At 39.1% G+C, this 23,886-nt stretch overlaps 1 protein-coding gene across 5 annotated transcripts in view, besides 2 other annotated features; it reads right to left on the reverse strand.

Moving 5' to 3' along the window:
* Nucleotides 1-211: 211 nt before the first annotated feature.
* NSL1 (NSL1 component of MIS12 kinetochore complex) overlaps nt 212-23,886 on the reverse strand; it is a 65,625-nt gene continuing 41,950 nt past the window's right edge. For 2 of the 5 annotated variants that reach the window (NM_015471.4, NM_001042549.2), the window contains 2 exons: nt 13,593-13,660; nt 212-12,745 (listed from right to left, as the gene is read on the reverse strand). In NM_015471.4, the coding sequence (NP_056286.3) occupies nt 12,467-12,745; nt 13,593-13,660 (347 nt within the window). In that variant the 3' untranslated portion in view covers nt 212-12,466. The remainder of the gene's footprint in view (nt 12,746-13,592; nt 13,661-23,886) is intronic. The other 3 variants (NM_001297736.2, NM_001297737.2, NM_001297739.2) reach the window with 2 other exon arrangements.
* Nucleotides 11,832-12,032: a silencer, noted in NCBI's record as "peak687 fragment used in MPRA reporter construct". NCBI's record gives its function as "represses an SCP1 promoter by STARR-seq MPRAs in K562 erythroleukemia cells {active_cell/tissue: K562}" and the evidence as "EXISTENCE:reporter gene assay evidence [ECO:0000049][PMID:32103011]".
* Nucleotides 17,872-18,072: a silencer, noted in NCBI's record as "peak688 fragment used in MPRA reporter construct". NCBI's record gives its function as "represses an SCP1 promoter by STARR-seq MPRAs in K562 erythroleukemia cells {active_cell/tissue: K562}" and the evidence as "EXISTENCE:reporter gene assay evidence [ECO:0000049][PMID:32103011]".

Below are 23,886 nucleotides of genomic sequence, written 5' to 3' on the forward strand. Positions count from 1 at the left end.
CCAAAATTACCAACAGGATATCCTTGGCATCTCAGCCAAGCTGATATTAAAGTTCATGTAGGGAAATAAATAAGCCAAAGTAGCCAGGAACTTTATGGAAAAATAGTAATAACAAGTGGAGGAAGATAGTCCTAAGAAAAAATAAATCTATCATGATGCTCTACAAGTTAAAGCAGCACGGTATGAGCATATGAAAAGAACAGACTAGGAATAGATCTAAATATATATTCGATTTTATTAGATGAAAAATGCAGCCTCTCACATCAGTGGGGGAAAAGAGGTACTATTCAATAAATGGTGTCAGAACAGGTGGTTAGCTCTCTGGAAGAAAATGAAAGGATCAGATGTCCCCCATAAACAACTACTCTACTCAGTAGGAAGAAAAAAACCCACAAAACAATAGCATTAGTTCAGTTCAGAAAATCCAGTTCAAGCCAATTATTCAAACAGTTTTTGGGAGGTAACACTGTCCCTATGGGAAGACTTGGTATTTTTCAGATTTCCCTGCTGTTTATCAAGATGGCATATGGGTGTAGGGAGAAGAAGAGGTGCTGGAGCCATCTATCCAGGTCCCTGTACTCTCTCTGGCCCTCTGGTCTCCACAGCAAATGCCCCTGTCCACCTTGTCTCTGGGCACATCTGATGATAACGTCTGTGGCTGGTTTATTGAATTTGTTCTAGGCTTGTGTCCCCCACCGACCACCTGGCTCATCTCAGCTCCCAGCGGCACTGTGTTACCCCTGAGGTTGGCTCCTCTTCAATGTCCAGACCGCTGAGCCACTCTGCAGTCCTCAAATGCAGAGTGATTGGGTCACTCTCCATGGTGTCCATGAGAGGCTGCCAGCCACCTCGGTGGGGTCCTCCCACAATCCTCCATGTGGCACGTGGGGATCTCCAAATGACTTCTGTGCAACAACAGAGCCGAGCCCGGTCCCAGGGGCTGGATGGTGTCCCTCCCTCTGATGGACACCAGCACAGCACGGACTTTCCCGTCCTGTCTCTTCATGGTGGGTGAAGAGCACAGGGAGAGTGTGCTTCCTGGCTGTGTCCTCTCAGAGGCCCTCCAGTCCAGTCTACTCCGGCCTTGGAGATGACTGCCGAGAGAGGGAGGGCGGGCTCTGGGTCACCCAGCTTCATCCTCTTCATCTTGCCAGTTCACCAGAGGCAGAAGGGATGAAGGTTCCCCGATCCCCTTCTCTCCTAAACTGCCCCTAGAGCTAGTCCACCAGGCTTGGCTCCTAATGTGTTAAATGGGGGTGAATGGAATTTAGAAGATCTCTTTTTCTGAAAACTATATATGGCTTTCAAGACTTGCCTTGAGACTCAGAGCTGTTTCACAACCCTTTGTTCCAGGCAGGGCCCAGGATCCCCTTCCAAATTACTGAGGGGCAGTAAGTCCTGGCACTCAGCACATGGCAGGAAGGTCACTTAACCAGGGAAATAAGTATCAGTCAAGTTAATGTTTCCAAAATATACTCCTTGTAACAGACATTACCTAAATTTGGAAAAGTGACACAATTTCAAGCAGCAGTCAACTAAAACGATTCCTTTTGCAATTTAGGTTAATATCATAACTATACCACTGGAGAGAAAGGACAATGAATTAGACGTGTGCCACATACTTCTCTCAAAAACTTTATGACTCAGTTGTCTGGAAGTTGTTTTGTAACCTTCTAAAATTCACACGTCACAAATTCAGAATTTACTATAATTATAATCCTGAACAATCAGGACTGTTAGCTTCCCACGATGAAAGAATGACTAGCTATGATGATTTATATTTCCCAAGAAATTAACAGCAAAAGTTCATATTTAACCTCATTAAGATAATAAATTGCTTTAAACAACTTTGAGCACTTTCTTAGACACTAGTATTACATAGTAATATTCACTATTCGTTAACTGCTGGGAAATTTAAAAATGTTTGTTGATACTCTCTGTTGCTATGTGTCATTGAAAAAAAATGAGAAGAACCAACGAGGTCGCTGTGGTGTAGCGGTGAGAGCGTCTGAGACTCTGGACAAGGCCTTTGCTGTGAACCACGGGGAGAAGGTGGAAGCAGAGTTTGTGGTCAGAAGGCCTCGCTCTGCTCTACATGGTCTATAGACCGCTGGGAAGGTGGCCAGGCACTTCCCTTCTCATCTCCACCTCTTTCTCATGAAATGGGCGTGGTAATAGCCCTTAATTCATGGATTGTCTTGAGGATTAAAAGAGATGGTGCATGTGAAGCTTTTAGCATGATCATGGCATGTAGTAAGCACTCAATACATGGTAACTACTAGCATTATATTGATATTACCTTCAGCAAATAAGTTGATAACATTATATATGTAAACATTTATTTAAAGTATTTTTGTACAATTCCAGGCATAAAGTGGATTCTTTATATGCCTGTTTTAAAAATATGCTGCTTTAAACAGTTCTACAATTCACGCTATTTATTAATGGCCTTTTACCCAATCTGGGACACTATTACAGTTGTGGCTTTACTCAATCTCTTCCTTTTCTTTGGGTAATCTTTTATCTTGAACTACCAAGAGTAGATGAATTGTGAGCTCATATAGCTGGAACAAATCTGACATTGTTGGTTTGTTCAAACAATTTTTTCAAATCAGATTTACAGAGGGATAGAAATGAGAAAAGGAGTTTTATGTTAGGAAAAAAATGGTTTCTGAGAATTCTGAGGCTCTGATCTGATGAGTGAAGGGAACCACAGGCTTATCTGCACATCACTTATACCATTTGGTGAGATCTCTGGAGAATGGAACACCTTCACAGACAACATCAGGGATAAACCTGATCACCGTCCCCTTTGTTGCCACATCTCGCAGCTTCTCCCTTCTGTTTTTCCTCTCACTCTGACTCGAGGAGGGCCCTCAGCGCAGAGAAAATTAAGTCTAGTGTTTGCAGGAGGGCAAGACTGGGAGTGCTGGGGGTGGGGAGGCCAGAGTCCACCACTCTGGCAAAGAGCAGTGTTTATTTGTGTGTTTGAACGTTTGTTCCCTTTGAATATGAAAGAAAAAGAAATGAGGAGTAATTTTAGTAAGGAGGATTTCTAAAGAAGCAGTCATTTGTCAATCTGAAATTTTTTTTAAAGGAAGAATACTTGGGTTGGGCTTACAAGAAAAATAAATTGCAGTAAGTGTTAAAACTTGCCAGTCAATTACAGGAATATATTAGTGTTCCATCGTAGTTTCTAAAACCAGACAAAATCATTTCTTGCAAGCAGGTAATTCCACAGAAGTTTCCAAACCCATGAGTTTCACTCTCAGGTTCCCTCTAGGAGCAGAAGTGCAGGTTTGCTTGGGCTCCTAGCCTCTCCCTCAGCTCCCTCTTTTCCCTCTAATGGATCCCTAGATGCTACTGATGGCTCCCCTAACTGACGGCAAATTGCTTGTGGGCAGGGTCTGTGCCTTGGTTTACAGGTGTACATCCACACAGCTCTTAGCACAGTATTTAGATTCATCGAGTATGTGTGTAATAAAAGGTGTGGCTACGAAAAATCATTTTACAATATTGTCTGGCACATGGCTGGGAAAGATCCTGAGGCTCTGGAGCTGGGGTGTATGGGACCTGGAGCAGGGGTGCCCTACAACTTTGCCCATTTTTATTATTCTGCCAGTGTCATCCCCTCATTTCTACACTTCCTCAGGATCAGAGGCAGGCACACAGGGCATAGACAGAATATGACAAGTCAGAGAGAATTCGAACACTTATTTTAACCTTTTCACCAAATTTTTGTCAGAGAAGGAAATGAAGCAAGATACCAAGGTCAAATCCTCCTCTCTTTTCCTTTTTCCTATCCGCTCTTCTGGTGGAGATGCTCGGCTATAAAACGGCTCAAAAGAACAGCTAGAACATGGAAAAAGCAATGTAATCAGCTGGTGCTGCAAAGGGCAGTGATGTGTGGACGAAGGGGTTGCTGGGGTGACCCAGGCAGCAAGGACCCTGAGGGGGCAGGTAACCAGAAGCTGCCTTGTGGAGGAACTAAACCTCCGGAAGGATTTTTTTTTTTAAGAATGAAATGGGCCGGGCGTGGCGGCTCACTCCTGTAATCACAGCACTTTGGGAGGCCAGGGCGAGTGGATCACCTGAGGTCAGGAGTTCGAGACCAGCCTGACCAACATGGCAAAACCTCATCTCTATAAAAATGCAAATATTAGCCCAGCATGGTAGCACGCGCCTGTAATCCCAGCTACTCGGGAGGCTAAGGCATGAGAACCTCTTGAACCTGGGAGGTGGAGGTTGCAGTGAGTTGAGATCGCTCCACTACACTCCAGCCTGGGTGACAGTCTCAAAAAAAAAAAAAAAAAAAAAAAAAAAAGAAATGCGCCAAGTCTCAGGTATTTATGGACTGGTGAAGAGTTGTGTGGAGGGTGGCATTCCCATCAAGGTGGCATCAGGGGCAGAAATGGACAAAAGAACTCCAATGACATCATTGTAGAAGATGTGGGCCACAGAGCTACATGAATGGGCACCAAGGGAGGTCTTAAAATCTGCAACTAGGTATGAGCCCAAAGGCACTGGAGCCATTCTCTGAGTAAGGCTAGTCAAGGTGATGATAGAAATGCCCAATCTTTTACACAGGCACAGGAGTCAGCTGGAGCAGAAGACCTGCAGGGAGAAGTTGAATTTTCTTCTCTAGCTATCCCAGGCCACCCAGAAGTCAGGGGATGTGACCAAAGGAAAAGGTGATCAGAAGGCAACTATACCTGCTAGCACAGTGATGTCACTGAGGGATGTCAATGCCATCCTCTGCTCTTATGTCCTGCAGGGATATGGGAATTAGACTTAGTTCTAGTAGACGTAGTTCTAGTAGACAGGAGACTCTGGAGTCCTAATTCAGGTCAGTTTCCCAGTGATCTGTCCTCAGTTTTTTACCTCTCCCCTCCCCACACTCACCTTCTAAGTTCAATTAATAATGAATATAAATGCCACAAGCCATTAATGTGTGAGATTGTGATCCAGGGAAACCGACAAGTTAGAAATTTGCAATATGAACTCATTCATTCAACGAATATTAGTTTACAGCCCATGGGCAAAGTATGAGCAATGTAGAGACACAGCAACGAATTACAAGGGATTCTTTACCCCTGAAGCTTCAAATGAATATAACATTAATTTTCTCAAATCCTTTCATATAAAATCCCCAAGAACCCCCTTCAGTGGTTCTCTAGAGAGATATTTTTTTCTTCAGAGACTTTCATAATATAATCTATTTGCAAAACAAATGGTCAGAGGGGAGAAAAAAAAAAAAACCTGAAGAAACCAAAACTAGAATTATCAGCCAAAAACAGAGAATAGTAAGTCTTATCTGAAATATACTGTGATAGGCCAGGTGCAGTGGCTCATTCCTGTAATCCCAGCACTTTGGGAAGCTGAGGCAGGAGGATGGCTTGAGCCCAGGAATTCAAGACCAGCCGGGGCAATATGGCGAGACCCCATCTCTAAAACAAATAAACTAGCCGGGCATGGTGGCACACGCCTGTTTTGAAACCCTGAGAAAGCTTCTGAAACCCTGAAAAACTGAAACCCCGAGAAAGGTTCTAGGGGATGATTTGTCTCTTAAACCAAATTTATTTTCCCTTAATTACTATATGCATTTAATTTTAAAAATCAAATCTATGAGGCTTCTATCAAAAATTATCAGTCCCTGGCCCAGTTCCCCCACCTAAGTTCATCCACAGAGTTAATACTTCCCACTTCGTCAGCTCTTTATTCTGCTGCACTAAATTATATCCATATTGTATGATCTTGAATCAGCTTTTTAGACATCCACTGACTTCCAGTTGTGGTGGGTGAAGATTTCACTCCCCACTGCCATGTCAAAGCTGGTGTTCAGACAGTCACACTGTTACAAACATATGGATTGTACTGGTTGGCACAGAAGCCTCCTCACTATCCCTGCCACTCTGGCTGCTCCAGCTCCATGTCCTGGGACACCCTACCCTGCCCCAGGACCCAGCAGCTATAAGGGCCTCCACACCCCACCTTACTGCTTTAACCAATGTCCATCTAACTGTTCAGTGCCTGTGCTGTACTAATTGCTAATTCCCATCCTTTAGCCTCCCAGTGTAACTGTCCCAATTTTTTTTTTTTTTTTTTACTGAATTCAGATTCAGGGTTTTTATTATTATGGCTATATAAATATTGTTCACTGGAGAACTAATTTGTAACCATGATTACATTTCTTTTTTTGTACAGCTTTCTGCCTCTACTGTAGTGAATAACTGCCTTATTTTTTGTTTCTTTGAACATCTTAATCATATTACAAAACATCTCCTTTATACAATTTTCTGCATAGTTAACATTATCACTCGTGTTGTCACTTTTATTTTTTTCTGAAAATATCTCTTTTGGAGTCCTACATAGTCCTTTTTTTTTTTTTGAGATGAAGTTTCGTTCTTGTTGCCCAGGCTGGAGTGCGATGGCGTGATCTTGGCTCACTGCAACCTCTGCCTCCTGGGTTCAAGCGATTCTCCAGCCTCAGCCTCCTGAGTAGCTGGGATTACAGGCATGCGCCACCACGCCCAGCTAATTTTGTATTTTTAGTTGTTGGTCAGGCTGGTCTCCAATTCCCAGCCTCAGGTGATCTGCCTGTCTCGGCCTCCCAAGGTGCTGGGATTACAGGTGTGAGCCACCGCACCCGGCCTACATAGTCTTATTCCAACCTGGTCTGCCTAGTCTCCAAATCTGCTGATTAGTTAGTAGCCTGTAGACTCGAGTGTGCTGTGTTTTGGGAGCCTTAGTTTCCCAGATCCCATGGCTGCTGCTTTTTTGGTTTACCCTTTGGAATAGAGCACAGCCCCTGGTAGAACCCCCAAACGGGATGCCTTGGAGGTAATTTTTTTTGACGCTTTGCATATCTGAGATATCTTTTAGCTAATCATGCACTTGATTATTAGTTTGACTGTGTATAAAAGCCTAGGTTGTATATCATTTATGCTGAGAATATTTCTCCAGATGCTTCTAGATTTTAGGATTGTTGTTTAGTAATCTGATGCCATTCCAATTCCTCTTGGTATTCCTCAGGTCTGGGAATGTTTCTTGTGTTATTTCTATTTCTTTATTCTCTTTTTAAATTGAGATATACTTTACCATCTCACTCACCCTTTTAAACTGTATTGTTCAATGGTTTTCAGTATATTCAACAAGCAGTCGTGAATCACCATAATCAAATTTAGAGGGTTTTCATCACCCTCAAAAGACATCCCAGGCCAGGCGCAGTGGCTCACGCCTGTAATCCAGCACTTTGGGAGGCAGAGGTGGGCGGATCGCTTGAGCTCACGAGTTTGAGACCAGCCACATAGCGAAACTCCGTCTCTACAAAAAATACAAAAATTAGCTGGGCATGATGGTGCATGCCTATAGTCCCACCTACTTGGGAGGCTAAGGTGGGAGGATGGCTTGAGTTGCGGGGGCAGAGGTTGCAGTAAGCCAAGATAGCACCACTGTACTCCAGCTTGGGCAACACAGCAAGACCTTGTTTCACAAAAAAAAAAAAAAAAAAATCCCATACCCATTAGCAGTCACTTCCTATTCCTTCCACCCTCTCCATCTTTCCAGCCTTAGGCAGTGACAGATCTATTTTTTGTTTCTGTAGATTTGCCTGTTCTGGACAGTTCATTTACATGGAGTCTACAAAATTCAGCAGTCTTTTGTGAGAGGCTTCTTTCACTTGGCATGTTTTAAGGTTCATCTACACTGTGGCATTTACCAGTACCTCATTTCTTCTTATTGCCAAATAATATTCTATTGAGTGGATAGTCCACATTTTATTTATCCATTCATCAGTTCATGAAAGTTCAACCTGCTGCTACAAACATTTGTGTGTAAGTTATTGTGTGAGCATGTTTTCAATTCTCTTAGGTTTAGAACGTGGAGTAAAATTGCTGGGCCATATGGTAACTGCATTATCTCTTTGATAATTTTGACTCTGCTGCTTTTTCTGCATGCTATCTCTGGAATGGGTATCGATTAGACTTTGAACTTTATGAACTTATTCTCTTTATTCTTACTTTTCTAATTTGCCATTTCTTAATCTTTCTGTTTTATTTTTGGGAAAATTTCATTTTATCTCCCAGCCCTCCCACTGAATTTTTATTTCAACTTTCATATTTTTAATTTTCAAAAACTTTTTCTTATTTACTGAACATTATTTAATAGCATTCCGATTTTCCAAAAAATGTATGATTTTCTCTTCTTTCTGGGAGTACAGTCATCATTCTGGGATTTTGCTTTGTATGTATCTGTTTTCTTTGAGGTCCTTTATTCTCTTTGGTTTTTGTTTTAATTCACTCAGTTAACCACTATGCATCGAGGGCCCATCATGTGCCAGCAATTATTCCAGGTGGATGGAACAAAGATTCCTGCCATTAAGGGACTTACAGTTTTTGGGTCTGTCTTTGATGCTGGAGACGCTCCTCAAATATTTGGTGAATCAGTTTTGTGCATTTTTAAAATATAAAACTTAAATAAAGTGCAGAAATTTTAAGTGTATAGTTCAACAAAATTTTACATACATATACAGCCATGTGAGCACCACTCAGATCAAGATACAGAACATTTTGCTCACCCAAAAATGTTTCCCGTGCCATTCCCAGTTAATATCTCCCCTCTCCCCAGAGGGAACCACCATGGCTTAGTTTTGCCCATTCTGTGATTCCATACACAGGATGTATTCTCTTGTGCCTGGCTTTGCTTCTTTTATTCAATATAGTATCTTTGATATTGATCCACATTGTTATAACAGTAATTTGTTCTTTATTCCTGTATTCCTTCCCTGATTATTTGCCTAAAACATTCAAGACTGCTCAAATGCCACCTCTTCTACAAAGACTTCCATGACTACTCCCCTAAGTTCCACACATACATCTATCATACCATTTGCTGCATGGCATTATCATTGTTTGCACACTCATCCTCTTCACTGGAATATGACCTTCCTGAAGGCAACACTTGTCCTGAGTGTTTTCATTTCCTTTATCAAAAGAAGTAATAACAGTGATCATAGAGTACTCATATGCACCAGTTATTAGTCTAAGGCCTTCACATTATGAACTCATTTACTTCTCAGAATAACGCTATGAGGTAGGCATAATTATTATCCCCATTTTGCACATGAGAAAACTGCAGCATAGACAGGTTATGTAACTTGCCCAATGTCACTGAACTAATAATGGTAGAACTGCAATCTGAACCCAGATGATCTGGCTCAGAGACTATGCTCTTTAAGATCTCTGACTTTTGATCATAGACAGGTTAAGTAACTTGTCCAATATCATTGAACTAATAATGGTAGAACTGAAATCTGAACTCAGATGATCTGGCTTAGAGGCTGTGCTCTTAAGATCTCTGACTTTTGATCCGAGTAGGTGTCCAACTGTATGTGTTGAACAGATGAATAAATGAATGAAGGTGGATAGAGAAGATAGGTGTTCACCAGAAATCAAACAAATTCAGCCTTAGAAAAGAAAAAGTACATCTTACAAGATGAAATCATACTGTTTGAAGCAATAAAAAATTTGGTTTTATTCACTTTGTCCTCTACGGAGCCCAAGCCATAAAGGGCCAGGGAAAGAGGTCTAGGATAAGATTTTCTGTGGGCTTGTGTTATGGACTCAATGTTTGTGTCCCCCTAAAATCTGTATGATGAAGCCTTAACTCCCATGTGCCTATAGCTGTATTTGGAGATGGGGCCTCTAAGGAAATAATTAAGGTTAAATGAGGCCATAAGGGTGGGGCTCTGATCTGATACAATTGGTGTCCTTATAAGAAGAGACACCAGAGAGCTTGCACTCTGTCCCTCTCTCCACATGCATGCACTGAGGAAAGGCCATGTGAGGACATAGTAAGGAGGTGGTCATCTACAAGTCGGGAAGACAGCCCTCACCAGAAACTGCATTTGCCAGCACCTTCTCATGGACTTCTAGCCTCCAGAACTGTGAGAAGTAAGTATCTGTTGTTTAAGCCACCCAGCCTGTGGTATTCTGTTATAGTAGCCTAAATAAACAAATGTAGATTTTGGTACCAGTTTTCAGAAACCAGCTTTGACAGTGTTCTCTCTTCTTTGGGACTAGACTTAACCTTCTTGTGTTCTTCTTATTATTATTTTGAAACAGGGTCTCACTCTGTCACCCAGGCTGGAGTACAGTGGTGCCATCCTGGCTCACTGCAACTTCTGCCTCCAGGGCTCAAGTGATCCTCTCATTTCAGCCTCCTGGGTGGCTGGGACTACAGGTGTGTGCCATCACACCCTGCTAATTTTTGTATTTTTTGTAGAAATGGAGTTTCACTATGTTGCCCAGGCTGGGCTCAAGTAATCTGTCCACTTCAGCCTCCCAAAGTGCTGGGATTACAGGCATGAGCCCACCGCGCCTGGCTATTTCTTTTCTGAAAGATAATTTTAAGACCCTATTCAATCCAGACTCTTTTTATCATAGAGCAAGATTTGATTTTCAATTTTTTCCTTCAACCTTTCCAATTCCTTAAAACTACAGACTTTCTTGCTTTTAATCCTTAGCTTACTAGTTCTTGGCCTATGCAGAAATGCAACTTCTCCTCTTACACAGTATACTTATTCAATATTATTACTGCTATTGGTCATGCTTTTCTTAGTTAATAATGCTAATACGTACTGTCTTTCCCAGTGGTATTTCTATTTTAAACTCTGCTATAACTATGGAGTAAAACTTTGGGCTCTCAAGAGGATTTCAAATCTCAGCTGTCTGCCTGGGGACTTTAAAATATAACCATTTTTTAAAAACTTATAAAAATTTCCAACACAAAGTAGAATATAGTCATTACACAGATTCAACATTAACAGGATTTTTGTCACATTTCCTTAATCGATTCCTTGTTTCTCTGCTGAATACTTCAGAGCAAATCTATCATGTCATTTAAAAACTCTATGTAGCACAATATACCTCTCTTAAAAGGGAGGGACCATGTTCTTATATAATCAAAATGCAAGTAGCTTATATAATCTAATAGAATTAACAATAACTCTTTTGTTTGGGGACCTCTGAAGTGAAACAAATCATACAGAATTTTAATACTATAAAAACATTAGCACTGTAAAAACAGCAACATATTATACAGCCTCAAAACAGTTTTAAACTGAAGTCTAGTATGTTCAGAAACGCAGGGTGCTGACCCACCATCCAACTGAAGCTGAGCTCAGGAATGCCTAAGACAACTCATAAAAATACACAGCATCAAGATCAGTCTTTGTACATTATTTCAATGAAAAACACATAGCTGTGTACAAATATACAGATCTCAAACTGTAACACTGAAACACAAAATGCAACAAAGTGGCTTTATAAGTTTTCTTCACTGAGACAGACCTTCTGGTGACTTCTGGTGAATCTAGACATTTATGATTATTAATACATAATAAGCAAGAGAAATACAGATTTTCCAACCTCATGATCAGTAAATTCCTTTGAAAAATGAATGAAGGTATCAGAGTCATCAAAAGGGGAAACAGTTGGTAAGTTTGATGGCCCTGCCTACACTGTATAATGTAAGACACACAATAAGAGCTATAAGAAACTATAGTTAAATGTTAGAAGTAAAGCCAATATCGTTTTCTCAGACTTCTCCCAGTGATTATATACCTGATATATAAACATCTTCAAATGTGAAATAGTTCAATAACACAATGACACTTTGCCAGTGTATTAATCTGATATATATTTTGAACTGGAATGATTTGTAAAGAAATAAATAAGAAACCCTAAAAAGAAACCATTAGTTCCAAGTCAAATTATGTTAATGGTCTATAGAAAAAAGTGAGTGTGGGCAGGAAACATTGGCTACATGCCAATTTTTATTTCAAAGAGTAATGTTGCACAAATAATAGTTATCATTGTCTTACACAACAAAAAATCCTAAAGTTAATCTCACAAACCTAAATTAGCTGAACATGGAGTAACAAAGTCAAAGCCAGTATTATCATCAGCACATTAATTTGATAAATCAAACTACATCTTTAAAAAAAAACCCTGCATCTGCTGCTGTGCAGAACTGATAATTACTTTTCAGCATGTAAACGAAAAATCATTATACAGCTCTCTCTCTTTTTTTTTTTTTTCCTAGAAAGATGTATACCAGGGAAACACAACAGAATTTGTTACTTGTTAAATCCCACAAAAGCTACAAGGGAGCTGAGAGTTGATGGCACTTAAGGACAGTAAAAGTCTGCACTTTTAATATTTTTAATGCCCACTGATGGGCTTTGTGTCAATACTTTTTAAAATGCTTTTTATTTACAATAGATAAAACAGTAAGGAAATACAATATTATATCATATCCCCGCACAGAGATACTATATCTGTATAAATGAATCACTAGTAAAAGAGTTATTTCTTATTTCAAATGAAGTCTTATCTAGGTATTAATTAGGCTGTAATCTAAATGTTGATGGTGCCTATTTTCAACTCCCAAAATAAACAGAAAGAGCTCATGTATCAAGATTAATTTTCTTTGGCCGCAATGGATACCATTTTCTCTGGGGGCAGTCTTTAGTTTGCTTTCTTTTCAGTACCATGTCAGAGGTTTTCCTGGAAGCAGTCTCTGTTGGTGTGGTTTCTATCTGTGTTATAAAGTTCTCAGGTTTAGCATCTGGTTTCCTATGACAACTGGAAAAGACTTCTTGGTGAATCCTCTGGAGGTGGATAACAGGCTGCATCCTGAGAACTTGGGAAAATCCCTCTCCTTGTTCAATTAATGCAGGCAAGGACTTCAAACAAACAAACAGTAATATTCAACATTAATCTCAGGTTGAAACACAAACAGACAAAGATGGATGCAGTACTCTAATTTTTTTTTTTTTTCTTGAGAAGTCTTGCTTTGTTGCCCAGGCTGGAGGGCAGTGGTGTGATCTCAGCTCACTGCAATCTCCACCTCCTGGGTTCAAGCAATTCACCTGCCTCAGCCTCCCGAGTAGTTGGGACTACAGGCGCGCACCACCACACTTGGCTAATTTTTGTATTTTTAGTAGACGTGGACTTTCACCATGTTGGCCAGGCTGGTCTTGAACTCCTGACCTCAGGTGATCTGACTGCCTTGGCCTCCCAAAGTGCTTGGATTACAGGTGTAAGCCACTGTGCCCTTGCTGATCCAGGCTTTAAATGCTGGATTGTAGGTTACTTATGTGCGCAACCTGCTTAGCCTCTCTGTGCCTCAGCTTCCTCATCTACAAAAGAAATAACAGTATCTGTCTCATAGGATGTAAGGATTACATGAGACAATACATGTAAAGCAGTTGGATGGTGCCCATACCAATTATTCAATACATTTTAGCTGGTATTATTATCCAAAACTGTTCGGTGAACTGCTAACACCCAGAACACAAAAATATAATCAACCTTTAAAGAAGACAGGTATATTACCTGGCACATAGTAGGTACCTGATAAATGGCAGCTATTCTAAATGTTACTGTTGCTTAATAAATTCATTAAAGATTTATTTAAAGGACCGCTGAGAATTCCTGTTAGAGCAGACTAAAACACATATGAATGTTGAATGCAAATACCTAGCCATACATTTTGTTCATTTGATAATTTTTTTAGCACATAGCTTTTACCTTCATGGCTTCACTGATCTCCTTTGCTACTGTTTCCCCTCTGCATTTCAAATTTTCCATATGAGGGGCTGCAAAAACATTGCCAAACAGTATTTTAGGTTTTTATCTAATAGCAAATCATAAAAGGCATATAGATACTATCTGAAAGGCATATAGATGCTATCTGGACAAAAATCTGCTAGGACGATTCACCTCAGCTTAATCTTTCTCAGAGTGAGACCATTATAATAATAGAGTAAAACTAAAAGTTATAAGCATAAGATGGTACACAAAATTCTATTACGAGTAGTCATAACACTGTGTGCCCCTAAAAGAGAGTTCAATGTTCATTCTATACATTACCTACCACTATGTTTAACATCTTTGAGCACTATCATCACATTTTTAAATAAATACTTTTTATATTACTCTGAATTTTATAAAAGTAACACATATTCGATCTTAGAATATACAATCACACTGCACTGAGATCATGCCTAGATGGAATTAATCTGGAACAGATTATCAGTAATACTACTTTCTCTTTCCTTACTTCCTAATACATATTTTCTTCTTCCAATCTTTGCATATTCAATGATACAGAAAGATAAAAATCTTACTAAAACTCTAAACAAAACTGAAAATGAGAAAAAATTGTTCCATTATGAAATCATCTATGAATTACTTTTTAGAAGAGTAGTTCTCACTAGAAATTTCTTAGAGTCAAAGCAAGTACATAACTATGTTAGGAGGGCCACATTTTCACTGGCTAGAAGAGATTGGTCAATAACCCAGGCAAAATATTTCTTTCATAACTGCTATTTTTCTTTTCTGACTTGTCTTAGGTTCATCTTTAAAAAGTGAGAACACATTTAGAAAAATGGAAATGAACCACAAAAACAGCTTACTGAAAGAGGGCACTCAAAGAAGGAGACAGACAATGGCAACAGGATAATCTCAGAAAAGGGTTTTTTTTTTGTACCAGAAATTTCTTTGGCAATTTGGTGAAACCTATGAACACCTTCTCAGAAAAATTTTTAATGTACTTGTTTTTTAAATTGAGGTATAATTTATATATAGTGAAATGTATAGACAGTAAGTTCAGCATTCAATTGACAAGTGTATACCAAGACACAGGACATTTTCATCACCCTAGAAAGTTCTCTTGTGCCCCTTTCCCAGTCAATTTTCTCCATAAGAAGCAACCATTTATCTGATTTTAATCACTATACATTAGTTTTGCTTATTCTAAAATTTCAGAATGTTTTAAAATAAAATTTAAAATGTAAGTAGAAAATTGTGATAGGTAATATATGTGCTTCTTTATTGATGATTTAAATAACAAAATTGATGGCATAGTGATTACCATAATATAAAAACAATGAGTGTAAACAACAGTGTGAGGTATCTACAACAACAGAAAATGAAAATATCTGTAGCTTTAAGTAACAGAAAGAAAGTTAGTGATACTGATAACATCACCACTATTACCTACATTCAAAATGGAAGGAAATGCTAAATTTCAGTTTGAGGCTAGTAAAAATAAAAATGTATTTTTTTTCCTATACAAGTTCACAGGAGGGTCCTAAGGATCCTTGCCTTGAAATAACATCATAATTTCTATTATTTACGATTTGAGGAGATTCCCCAAAAGTACTCAGGGGCATAACAATTGTTAAATTTTCTCTGTGGTATGGCAAATAAATAATTCATCCTTTGGTCCTCCTGTGGCAATATGGATTCTAGCCAGGCCCACACTTACTCTCTCTTCAAGCTTGCACACCTGTGTAGGAGCTATCTGTTCAACGAACATTTATGATGTATCTTCCATGGGCTAGGCTTATGATATGGTTTGGATCTGTGTCCCCACCCAATCTCATGTCGAATCATAATCCCAATGTTAGAGGTGGGGCCTGGTGGGAGGTGATTGGATCACGGGGCGATTTCCCCCTTGGTACTGTGTTATGATAGTGAGTGAGTTCTCATGAGATCTGGTTGTTTGAAAGTGTGTGGCACCTCACCCCCAAAACAGCTTCTTCCTGTTCCATCCATGTGAGGTGCTAGCTCTTCCTTTGCCTTCTGCCATGACTATAAGTTTCCTGAGGCCTCCCAAGAAGCTGAGCAGATGCCAGCATCATGCTTCCTGTACAGCCTGCAGAACTGTGAGCCAATTAAACCTCTTTTCTTTATAAATTACTCAGTCTCAGATATTTCTTTACAGCAGTGTGAGAAGAGACTAATACAGCTGAGCAGTAGGTACTTATAATAAGTAAAAATGGTCCCTGCCCATCAAGGAACATTCAGTTTAGAAGAGAGAAACACAGGAAGTTCTTCAAAATTAGCTCAAACTTTTCCTGGGTAGTCTCATGTTTCCATGATCTCGGTTAACACATACCTCACCTCCTGCCTGAATGGACCCTGCCTTGCTACAGGCTCCCACTGGGTCCTGCACAGTTCTAGTACAATGCCTGGAAGACATCATTGCACTAATTTGTGTAGAATAAATTTCTCAACCCTATCAGACCCGACCCAACACCACCCCCCACTTCAGAACATATTTTGTAAAGATCCCATTACTATTCTAAAGCAAAATTCATAGGTAATATTTCTACACATATAAATAGAAATAAAGGGAGAAATAATATTCATCAAAATATGTACTTAATATGTTTAAATATGCTCAGACCCAACTATACCAAAGACATAATGAAGTACTCTCAGACTTGTGCCTACTTATAATGAGTAAGCTTGGACTTAAGAAAATTTACATTTGAAGCCATTCTATACAGAAAGCAGAAGATCAGAAGTATGGATGGAACTTGAATAAAACTTAATGTTACATAAGAAATAATAGATTAGATTTATTTGAATATAAGAGGAAGAAAAACTGAAATAGAGATAACATACCAAGACAAAGTACTGACTGTTGAACTGGTGAAAATTAGGAAGTACATTATTTCTACAAATGAAATGTCCTTATTAAAAGTGTAGTGTCAAAATTATCCCCTATAACATGAAAAAGTGCGAGATTAAAGTCTACCAGAAAACATATCTCCTGCTTCAAAATTCCCATAATTTAGACTATAGTCAATATATACATTAACTTAAAAAGACTTCAAAGATCATACTGTCGAAAGGTGATGAGAAATAGAGGATGGATTAGGCAAAATATTAATACAAGAAACTATAGAGATGATATGTGGCTGACCTCTGTAGTTAATCTGACTGACACTCAAAACAGGCAATTCAAAACTATAATTAGAATACTTTAAACATTTTAAATCTTCACATAATTTCTTATCATTGTGGTACAAAAATATAATTTTTAATATTTAGTTTGACAATAGCAAATATACCTAAACCACTTTTGCTTAAAAAAAAATGAGATCCCTGTATTTTGTGTGCTTCTGTTAATTCAGTAACATTTGGTTCTAGTCCTAAGGACTCTCAAACTTTGTTACATATTTTCCATCAGCTTTGCTGCTTTTGCAATAACTAAATACTGCATTTAATTAAAATCCCTTTTAATTAAAATTGTTGGAAATGCTCTAAGTAATTCCTTAGGAAAAAACAGGTATGAAAGTCTCAACTGAATCTAAAACATTTACGGATTAAATGTAGCTCTAGCTGCAAAGATTTTTGTTTACTTTGGTTTTTTTTTCTTTTTTTTTGAGATGGAGTCTCCCTCTGTCGCCAGCAGCGAGTGCAGTGGTGCGATCTCAGCTCATTGCAACCTCTACCTCCCAGGTTCAAGTGATTCTCCTGACTCAGCCTCCTGAGTAGCTGGGACTACAGGCATGCACCACCATGCCCAGCTAATTTTTGCATTTTTAGTAGAGACAGGGTTTCACCATGTTAGCCAGAATGGCCTCGATCTCTTGACCTTGTGATCCGCCCGCCTTGGCCTCCCAAAGTGCTGGGATTACAGCCATGAACCACAGCGCCTGGCTTATTTGTTTTTTTTTTTTTAGCTCAATTTTCCCTTCCTCCACATGTTCATTAACAGGTTCCATGTATACTCCAAATATACTTCATGTATATTCAAATTCTTAAATACCTTGTATATACAATCTTTAAATATAATCACCCTATCTTAAAAATAGCATGCATAGGAGTGACATCATCAAAAATGGTGGCATAGGAGATTCCAAAGGCCCATCCCTCCACAGAAAAAAGCTGGCAAAATCTGTCACAATCAACTTTATCAAAAATCTGGAAAACAGTCAAGGGTTTTCACCAATCAACAGAATGTTTAATCAAGGCAAGAGCAAGTGAAATCTGGTAGGAGAACTTGGTATATTTTAATTTACCCTTGCCCCATTCCCTTCTTCCTGGCTCGGTGGCAGTAATTCCCAGAGTGGGTTACTGGTGCTGGAGATAACAGAGTAGACTCTGCTCTCAAAGAATTGTATTGTTTTGACCTGGTGAGTGGCTCTCTGAAGGACTAACACAAAAGGCTTGCCTTTATTTCACCTGATTTGGAACTCTCTCAGGGTGGAAAAGTGGTTACCTGGAGGTTATCTGTTAAAAACATTGAAAGGTAACGAAGCAGCAGATGCAGCGTGCAGCACAGGAAGTCAGTTGGGGCAAACAAACTGCTTGCTGAAAAGCTCCAAACAAGCAGGATGGGAAGGCAAAGGCCGTTATGAACTGCCTGGCTGAGAGCTGAAGGCATATCCCGACATACACCTACAGAGTTTAATGTTTTGTTTTGCTCCAGGCATTTAAGGAAATCTCTGACAAATCACTAGCTGACCACTAAGCTAATGGAATGGAGACTTCAGTGACTACAAACAACAAAAAACATGGTATTTCCAAAAAAGCTTTAGAAAAGTCACTAAACAAACAAACAACTCACCACAAGCAGCAACAACAAATCCTGGGAAGATGGAAGAATCTCATTTCTAGAGTTACCATATTAAAATATTTGAAATGTCCAGTTTTCAACAAAAAATTATGAGGCATGCGAAAATACAAGAAAGTATGGTCCATTCACAGGAAAAAAAGGAAATTAACAAACTGTCACTGAGGAGGTTCAGACACTGGACTGACTAGATAAAGACTTTCCATCAATTATCTTAATATGCTCAAAGAACTAAAGAAAACCTAAATAATGTGTGTCACCGAACAGAGAATACCAATGGCAGACAGAAATTATAAAAAGGAACAAAAAAAATTCTGGAGCTAAAAAGTATAATAACTGAAATGAAAAACTCAGAGGGGAGACGGTGAGTGTTCAACAGCAGATTTGGGCAGGCAGAAGAATTAAGGAACTTGAAGGTAGGCCAAATGAAGTCTAAGAGATCTGTGGGTACCATCAAGCCCATCAATATATGCATAACAAGGCCAGGTGCCATAGCTCACGCCTGTAATCCCAGCACTCTGGAAGGCCAAGGCGGCCGGATCACGTGAAGTCAGGAGTTTGAGACCAGCCTGGCCATGGTGAAACCCCGTCTCTACTAAAAATACAAAAATTAGCTGGGCGTGGTGGTGCATGACTGTAGTCCCACCTACTCTGGAGGCTGAGGCAGGAGAATTGCTTGAACCTGGGAGGCCGAGGTTGCAGTGAGCCAAGATTGTGCCACTGCACTCCAGCCTGGACAACAGAGTGAGACTCCATCTCAAAACAAACAAACAAACAAACAAACTATATATATATATATATATATATATATATATATATATATATATGCATATGCATATGCATAACAAGAGTCTCAGAAGGGGAAGAGAAGAGACAGGGGCAGAAAAAATATCTTAAGAGATAATGGCCAATAACTTCCCAAATTTGATAATACATGCATTTACACATCCAAGAAGCTCAACAAACTCCAAGCATTTACACATCCAAGAAGCTCAACAAACTCCAAGCAGAAAAACTCAAGGAAAGCCACATCAAGATACATACTAATCAAACTGCTGAAAGCTAAAGACAGAATCCTGAAAGCAACAAGAGAGAAGTGATTCATTACATATAAGACATCCTCAATCAGATTAACAGCCAATGTCTCATCAGAAACCATGAAGAATAGAGCACTGGGAGGATATGGTTAAAGTGCTGAAAGACTTCTAAAAAAATCTGTCCACCAAGAATTCACTATCTGCCAAAAATATCCTTCAAAAATGAAGGTGAAATTAAGACATTTCCAGATAAAAACTGAGGGAATTGTCTGGACACAGTGGCTCATGCCTATAATCCCAGCACTTTGGGAGGCTGAAGTGGGCAGATCACTTGAGCCCAGGAGTTTGAGACCAACCTGGACAACATGGCGAAACCCCATGCCTACCAAAAATACAAAAAAATCAGCTGGGCTTGGTGGCACATGCCTGTAGTCCCAGCTACTCAGGAGACTGAGGTGGATGGATCACCTGAGCCCAGGGAGGCTGAGGCTGCAGTGAGCTATGATGGCACCACCACACTCTAGCCTGAATGACAGAGTAAGACCCCATCTCAAAAACAAACAAACAAACAAACAAAACAAAACAACTTGAAGGAGTTAATAATTAGTAAACCTGGACTACGAAACTGCTAACAGTGTTTCAGGCTGAAATGAAAGGATGCTAGACAGCACCTTGAAGCCACACGAACAAATAAAGAATACCAATAAAGGTAACTACATAGGTAAATATAAAAGTTAGTTTGTGACGTCTCCTTTTTTTCTACATAATTTAAAAGACAAATGCATCAAACAACAATTATAAATCTACATTAATGGATATACAATGTATAAAGATGAAATCTGTGACAATGACAACATAAAGGGGGAGAAACAGAGCTGTATAGAAGAAGTTCTATACAGTATTAAAACTAAAGTGGTATTAATTCAAACTACATTGTTATAAATTTCAGATGCAAATTGTAATCCCCAAGGAAACCACTAAAAAAAACCCCTAAGAACTATACAGAAAATAATAAAAGTGGCACACTTCAAAAAGCTCAATTAAACAAAAAAGAAGACAGTAATGGAGGAATTGTGGAAGTAAAAAAGTATAGAAAACAAATACCAAAATAGCAAAAGTCCTTCCTTATCAGTAAGTGTAAATGGATTAAACTTTCCAATTAAAGACAAAAGTTGGCAAACGGATAAGAAAGACATGATTCCAACTCTATTCTGTCTATAACTCACTTTAGATCCAAAGACAAACATAGGTTGAAAATGAAAAAATAAACTAAGATGCTCCATGCCAAAGGTAAGAAACTGCTTAGATGAGTTGCACAACTTTATGAATGTGCTGCCAGTGAATCATACACTTCAAAATGGTTAAAATGGTAAATTTTATGTGTACTTTGCCACTGCCACAACAAAAAATAAGCATCCATATGTGTGGTAGTCTTCAAGATGGCCCCTGTGGCCAGGTGCGGTGGCCCAGGCCTGTAATCCCAACACTTTGGGAGGCTGAGGTGGGTGGATCACTTGAGCCAGAAGTTCGAGACCAGCCTGGCCAACATGGCAAAACTCCATCTCTACTAAAAACACAAAAATTAGCCAGGCATGGAGGTGTGTGCCTGTAGTCCCAGCTACAAGGGAGGCTGAAGCACAAGAATCACTGGAACCCAGGAAGCGGAGGTTGCAGTGAGCTGAGATCGCACTGCACTCCAGCCTGGGCGACAGAGCAAAAAAAAAAAAAAAAGATGGCCCCCAGTGATCTCTGCCTTGTGCAGGGTATTCATGCCTCCTTGTGCAGTCCTCTCCCACAGTGTACTAGGTCAGCCTGCATGACCAGTAACTAACAGCTCAAGTAATAGCAAATCACTTCCAAGATTAGGTTATAAAAAAGACAACTTCTGTCTTGGGTATTCATTTATTCATTCATTCCCTATGCCTTTCAGATCATTCGTCCTGCAAGAAGTAGGTTGACATGTTACAGAAGCTTATGGAGAGGCCCACGTTGTAAGGAACTAAAGTCTCTAACACACCAGCCAGGGCTGTACTGCCAACAACTATGTGAGTGAGTTTGAAAGTGGATTTCCCACAGTCCCAGGTGAGCCCTGAAAGATAACTGCAGCTCCAAATGACATCTTGACTACAACCTTGTGAGAGCCCTATGCTAGAACTACCCAGCTAAGCTGCTATCAGATTAATGACCCTCAGAAACAGTAAGAGATAACACATTTATTGTTTTAAGCAGCTAAACTTTGGGATAATTTGTTAGGCAGCAATAGATAACTAATACAACATGAGAGCAATATATTTTCAAAGGAATAAATTTAGGCTTATCTTAGGTAGAAATAAAATTCCTAGTGAGATTTATTTTCTTTTTTCTTTTTTTGACACAGGGTCTCACTCTGTCACCCAGGCTGGAGTGCAGTGGTGTGATCTCGGCTCACTGCAACCTCTGCCTCCTGGTTCAAGTGATTGTCATATCTCAGCCTCCTGAGTAGCTGGGACTACAGGCATGTGCCACCAGGCCTGGCTAATTTTTGCATTTTTTGGTAGAGATGGGGTTTCACCGTGTTGGTCAGGCTGGTCTCGAACTCCCAACCCCAAGTGATCCTTCCACCTTGGCCTCCCAAAGTGCTGGGATTACAGGTATGAGCCACTGTGACCAGCCTTACTTTCAAATAATATATGATTGTAGATAAATACTATAATTCCTTCACTTTAATGTGATTTATGTCATCTTCTTGCAGTTTCAAATATATTTAATGATATGATAATATCTGTTAACTTTTTACTTATCACTGATTGAATAAATATTATGTAATCTAGTAACACTATGAATTGTTGTTAGGGATATGGAACAACTGTAACTATCATACCTGCTGTTAGAAGTATAAATTGAAATAACCACTTCAGAAAACTTTTTAGTAATAGCTATAAAAGCCAAACATATGCCTACATGTGACCCAAAAATTCTATTTCTAGATATATATCTACGAGAGATGAGTATAAATGTGGTATAAGAATGTTCATAGTAGCTTTATTCATATAGCCAAAATCTGGAAACAAATCAAGTAACAACAGAAGAGATAAATTGTCTGTAGACACACAATGGAATACTACACAACAATAACAAAGAACTTCTGCTACATTCAAAACGTGGATGAATCTCATAGGAATAACACCAATTTAAAGAAGGTAACACAAGAATGCATACTATATGATTCCATTTACATGAAGTTCAAGAAAAGACAAAAATCTATGATGATGTAAGTCAGAATAGTGGTTATACCTGATAGAAATGGTATAATGACTAAAAAGGGGTATGGGAAACATTTTGGGGTACTGGAAATGTTATACAGGGTATCCATAAGGCTGGGGAACAGGATAAATATGTGCTAGTTACATTTTCAAATAATATGTTCAATATCTTTTTCTTCAACCTCAATATATTTTTCCAAGTAAAACACTTCTAAATTTAAAGCAGTGGCCCCAATTGTGAATATTTTTAAAAATACAATAAACGCACTGTTTTCTTTATGCTTCCAGGTTTTTTGGACACTCTGAATTGTATTTATTGTATACATGAAAACATAATAGGCACAGTATTAAAAAAATATAATCAATATACTGTTTAAAAATAAGTTTATCCTATATTTTCCAACTATGCAGATATTCTATTTCTAGATCATGGTGGCAGTTACATGTGTGTAGGTGTATGCATGTAAATAAATTCATAAAGCTGTGCATTATATGTTATACTGCAATATATGTGCACACACACATACAATAATGAACAAAATATTTATTAACATTTAATATGAAAAGTTATCTTTTATGAATAGGGTAAGGTAAAATCATATTCTTCTTCATTGTTATTATATTGTTTACATTACAAACTTTACAAAATAATCCATCACTTAAGGGATTTTGCGTTTTATTGTGTTTTTTTTTTTTTTTTTTTTTTTGAGACAGGGTCTCGATCTGTCACCCAGGCTGGAGTACAGTGATGTGATCACTGCTCAGTGCAGCCTCAAACTCCTGGGCTCAAGCATCTCACTCTGTCACCCAGGCCGGAGTGCAGTGGCACGATCATAGCTCACTGCAGCCTCAAACTCCTGGACTCAAGCAGTCTTCCTGCCTTAGCCTCCCAAAGTGATGGGATTACAGGTGTGAGCCACTATGCCCAGCCTACACTTTATTTTTTAATTAACAGCACTGATAACCATATTCACTGATTTGTGAAGCCTCTCACTAGGATTCTTAGAGACTAAGCGCCATCAATGACCAATATAAAGAATTCTTAAAATATCTCATGCTACCTTAAAAAGAAATTTGTCTCTAAACTCACATTGCTGAACAACAGCTGTTTTCTATCGGTTGCACAAGCAATGACAATGTAAAAAGTGCTAAGAGTAGTTTGGGTTTGTGTG

This window comes from Homo sapiens, chromosome 1 (assembly GCF_000001405.40).
Source record: "Homo sapiens chromosome 1, GRCh38.p14 Primary Assembly".
NCBI lineage: Eukaryota > Metazoa > Chordata > Mammalia > Primates > Hominidae > Homo > Homo sapiens.